Below are 5,058 nucleotides of genomic sequence, written 5' to 3'. Positions count from 1 at the left end.
ACAGTCTTGCTCTGTCACCCATGCTGGAGTGCACTGATGAGAACCATAGCTCACTGCAGCCTCAACCTCCCGCCTCAGCCTCCCAAGTAGCTGAGACTATGGGTGTGTGCCACCACACTGGGCTAATTTTTTATTTTTATTTTTATAGAGATGGCGTCTCACCATGTTGCCCAGGCTGGTCTCAAACTCTGGACTCAAGCGATCCTCCTGCTTTGGCCTCCCAAAGTGCTGAGATTACAGGCAAGAGCCACTGCACCTGACTCTTTCTCTTCTTAAAAGGGCACTAATCCCATCACGAGTCTCCCACCTTCATGATCTCTTCTAAATCTAATTATTTCCCAAATGCCCCATCTCCAGATACCATCACGTTGGCAGTTAGGGCTTCAACATATGAATTTGGGAGGGGAGGGAACACAATTCATTCCATTGCTCTTCCTCTGTGTGTATTCGTTGTTGTTGTTGGCCTCCTCCCCCAAGGAAGAAAGCTCCACAGATTTCGTCTGTTTCACTGACTTTAGTATACTCATCAGCCAAAACAGCAGCCACACCTATATTCAATAAACATTTATTGAATGAATGGATTTACTGAGTGCTTGCTCTATGCCATACACTGTCCTAAGCACTTTAGATTAACTTTTAAAATCCTTATAATGGCCTTATAAGCTAGGTACTATTGCTCCCTTCATTTATACATGAGGAAACTCAGACATGGAGGGGTTAAATAGTTGCCCTGGTTTCATAGGAGACAGAGCCAAGGTTGTGAAATAAGGAAGCCTAGCTCCTTAGCTCATTTTCTTTTCTTTTCTTTTTTTTTTTTTTTTTTGAGGTGGAGTTTTTGCTGTTGTTGCCCAGGCTGGAGTGCAAGGGTGCGATCTCAGCTCATTGCAACCTCCGCCTCTCAGGTTCAAGCAATTCTCCTGCCTCAGCCTCCTAAGTAGCTGGGATTACAGGCATGCACCACCACCCCCAGCTAATTTTGTGTTTTTAGTGGAGGCAGGTTTTCACCATGTTGGTCAGGCTGGTCTCGAACGCCTGACCTCAGGTGATCCACCCGCCTCGGCCTTCCAAAGTGCTGGGATTACAGGCATGAGCCACCGCACCCGGCCCTTTAACTCATTTTCTTATCCATTACACGATGCACAGAGTATTATTTTCCCCCAAAGCTACTAGGAGGTGCCTATAGAGTTTAAAATTTGCATAAATGTAAAGTACAATGTTGGCTAATGTGTTGGCTTTTTTCCCTAATATTTCATAGTTTCTAGAAATCTTTCTGATTATAATACCTAAATTCTTGCATATAAAAGCTATCCTGGTGAGGACAGTGTTTCTCCTGCACTGTTGTTATCCAGGCTTATATTCTAGGTGTGTATTACTGGGTCTAGTCCTGTGTTTCTGGTAGCCAGGGGACAGGTTCCCTCCTACTCAGATCCTTCCTAACACAGTATTACCATTGACTTATTTTTCCATTCTCAGAGGCTGCTCATCGTTGTAAAAAGTGATAATAAGTTAGGTTATTCATGGCACTTGGAGTTGGGGTGGGGGCAGAGGGCGGTGGAGAAGATCTTTAGAGGTGTACCAATAGCAAAACATGATACAGCTGTGTTTTGAGATAAAATGTCATCTTACTGGTCAGGATGGAAATTCCAAGAATATTAAATAAATTTCAAGTTTACTCTGGGTTGGGCACTTTTATATTTTATGTTGTAATTCTTACTTAACCTTGAGATGTGGGTATGGAAAAGAAGCTGACGGCTCATAGCTAATAAGAGGAAGAACCGGAATTTGAAACCACGTCTGTGTGACTTCAGATGTCTGCTATTTCACTGGCCTGTTATTGCCTTCTTTCCAGGGAGAGCACCATCCCCTAAAAAAGTGAGATGGCAACGCACCTCATCCACTCTTTCAGGTAAGTATTTGCAGTTCTTAGGGATAGGAAGTGTGTGTGACCAAATCAGGAAGCGAATTATGCTACCATCATATCACAATCTGATCAAAAAGTAAAATTCATCAATGTACCAGTCATATCTCTAACCAATCTCCAATTCTTTTCTGTAGCAACTGCATAGACTCTCTCTCTCTCTCTCTCCCCACCCCCCCAGCATTGAATGGTTATCCCAGACTGAAGTGCAGTGGCACAATCATAGTTCACTGTGTCTTCGAACTCCTGGGCTCAAGCAGTCCTCTAGCCTCAGCCTCCAGAGTAGCCAGGAATACAAGCATGAGCCACCACGCCCAGCTAGTTTTTATTTTTTGTAGAGATGGGGGGTCTCACTATGTTGTCCAGGCTGGTCTTGAAATCCTGGTTTCAAGCAATCCTCCAGCCTCAGCCTCCCAAAGTGCTGGGCCCTTTTTTTTTTCCCTTTTTTAATAGCTTTATTGAGATAACTTACATACCATAAAGTTCACGCATTTAAAGCGTACAACTCAATGGTTTTTAAGTATATTTAAAGAATTGTGCATCATCACTGTAATCTAATTATAGAATATTTTCATCACTCCCCAAAGAAATTGTGTACTCATTAGCAGTCATTCCCCAGTCACCACCTCCTGAGCCCTAGACAACCACTAATCTATTTTCTGTCTTTAGATTTGCCTATTCTGAAGATTTCCTATAAATGGTTTCATGCATTATGTGGTCTTTTTGTGACTGATTTCTTTGACTTAACATAATGTTTTTGAGGTTCATCCACATTGTGGCATATATCAATACTATATTTCTTTTTGTTGCCTGCAAAGTCTCCTTTTAAAAAACCCTTCCTTTACCCATAAATGTGTTTTGAGTTTGGGCTGACCTCTCCAGTGAGCCCAGCCTTGACCAGAGCCTGTTTCCTGGCGAACCAGCTTCCACATGTGACAAGGACAACGTCAGAACAGGACAGACCAACCTTGGGTTCCTTTCCTGGCCGCTGCCAGTAGAAATCCCAGAATTTCTTCGAAGGACAAGGTGTGGCTCTGTAGATGGCAGGCAGGGAATGACATCAGGATCTGTCATGGCAGGGGCCAATGGCACCAGCTCCTCACTCTGTTTTGTTTTTGTTTTGTGTCGAGTTTAGATTTTTAGATTAAAGGTTTTTACTCAAAAGCTGCTTCTCCTCCGAAAACCATTTGAAACTTTATACAGCTGGCTGGCTCCAGAAGTTTCTGCAACCAGAAAGCTTGATTCTGCTGCCACCTGCTGTCTGAAGCCAGAAACAACTTTAGATAAGAGACCTTGTTCAGAACATGTTCGAATAAGGCATGAGTTGCAGTTCTGAAAAGGCTTTTTCCCAATGTTATGCTTATATATTTAGGTCTCTTCTTTATGTCTGTATTTTTCTGTTTTCTGCCCAAACGTTCTGATCCCTTGAAAACCCACCAAAAGAGTGTTCCACTAAAGCTTTGTCAATATGAAAAGACCCTTACAAGCTTTTTTCCTTTCTTTAATCCGGCCTCAGGTGCTACGATTGTTCATTTCTTTGCTTCTTTCCCTCTCTTACGTCCTTCTTGCCTTTCATAGGCATTTGTTTAGTGTTTATTATGTAGCAGTTTTTGTCAGGGCTGTGAAGGTATAAAATGTGAAAGACTTGGGTGATTGCCTTAGAAGAAATTACACTCTGGGTGGTGGTTATGCCCAGATAGCCAGGATGGCCTGCTGAGCGGTGAATCCCCTAGACTTTTTTCTATGAAAAAAAGGCATAATTCTGCACATATTTTTTACTTTTTTTTTAATCTTAAAATACTTTTTGGCGATCCTTCCATGCCACACAAATCTATTCCACTTTATATAGAATTTCTCTTTATTTATGAATCATGGTGAATTAAACCTTTCCCCTATCAGTGGGCATTGAGATCATCACTGTTTTACTTTTACAAACAATGCATAAGGGAACTTCCTTGTACATGTCTCTTGGAGGTACATTTCTAAGTATTTCTTTAGGATACACACCTGGAGGTAAACTTACTGAGGCAAAGGTATCTATGTTTTTCATTGTAATAGATACTGCTAAATCATTCTTTTCAAAAAGCTGTCCAATTTACGCCTCCACCATCAGATTCAGATTTCCCATTTACACACAGCAAGATGGACACTTTATATTTTCAGGCTTTAGTTTTGGCCAATCTGATGAATAAAAATTGGTATTTCATTGTTTTAATTTGTCTTTACCTGCATACTTAATAAGATTAAGAATATATTTTCATATTTTTATTGGTTATTTGTATTTTCAATTAATTGTTGATATCTTTTGCTCACTTTTTGTATATTGGTTTGTCTTTTTTTCTTATTGACTCTTAAGGTGCTCTCTATATATTCTGGAATTTTTTTTTTTTTTTTTTTTTGAGATGGAGTCTTGCTCTGTCGCCCAGGCTGGAGTGCAGTGGCACGATCTCGGCTCACTGCAAGCTTCGCCTCCTGGGTTCACGCCATTCTCCTGCCTCAGCCTCCCAAGTAGCTGGGACTACAGGCGCCTGCCACCATGCCTGGCTAATTTTTTATATTTTTAATAGAGACGGGGTTTCACCGTGTTAGCCAGGATGGTCTCGATCTCCTGATCTCGTGATCCGCCCGCCTCAGCCCCCCAAAGTACTGGGATTACAGGCGTGAGCCACCGCACGGCCTATTGTGGATTTTAAATCATTGTTGGGTTTGCTGTAGAATGGGCACTGTATGTACAATTTCTTGTTCTCACAGCAACCACGGAAGGTAGGTTTTGTCATCCTTGTGAAAGAATTGTCCTATCTGAGCCTAAATGTCCACTGGGCATGTGGGGCATGTGATCACCCCTGTCCCAAGCATATATTTGTATGATCTGATGGACAAGAGACTTTTGTGTGTACACATATGCATGTGCATGTGTGTGTGTGTGAGTGTAAGAATGGACAAAGTTCCAGTACAGGTGTCTTGGAGGCAGTGGGAAGAAGAGAGGGAGGGAAGGGAGAATGGAAGAAGAGAAGGGAGAATGGAATGGTGTAGTGCCTAGTCTCCCAGCCCAGCCTCAGTTTGGTAGAGGGAGCTGTTGGGGCGTCAGGGGCAGGCAATGGTGTTTTAGGGCCCAGGTGACAAAGCACAGTGCAAAGTGG

This window comes from Homo sapiens, chromosome 1, assembly GCF_000001405.40.
Source record: "Homo sapiens chromosome 1, GRCh38.p14 Primary Assembly".
NCBI classification, from domain to species: Eukaryota; Metazoa; Chordata; class Mammalia; order Primates; family Hominidae; genus Homo; species Homo sapiens.
The sequence above is the reverse complement of the archived record's forward strand: the minus strand, read 5'-3'. Positions refer to the sequence as shown.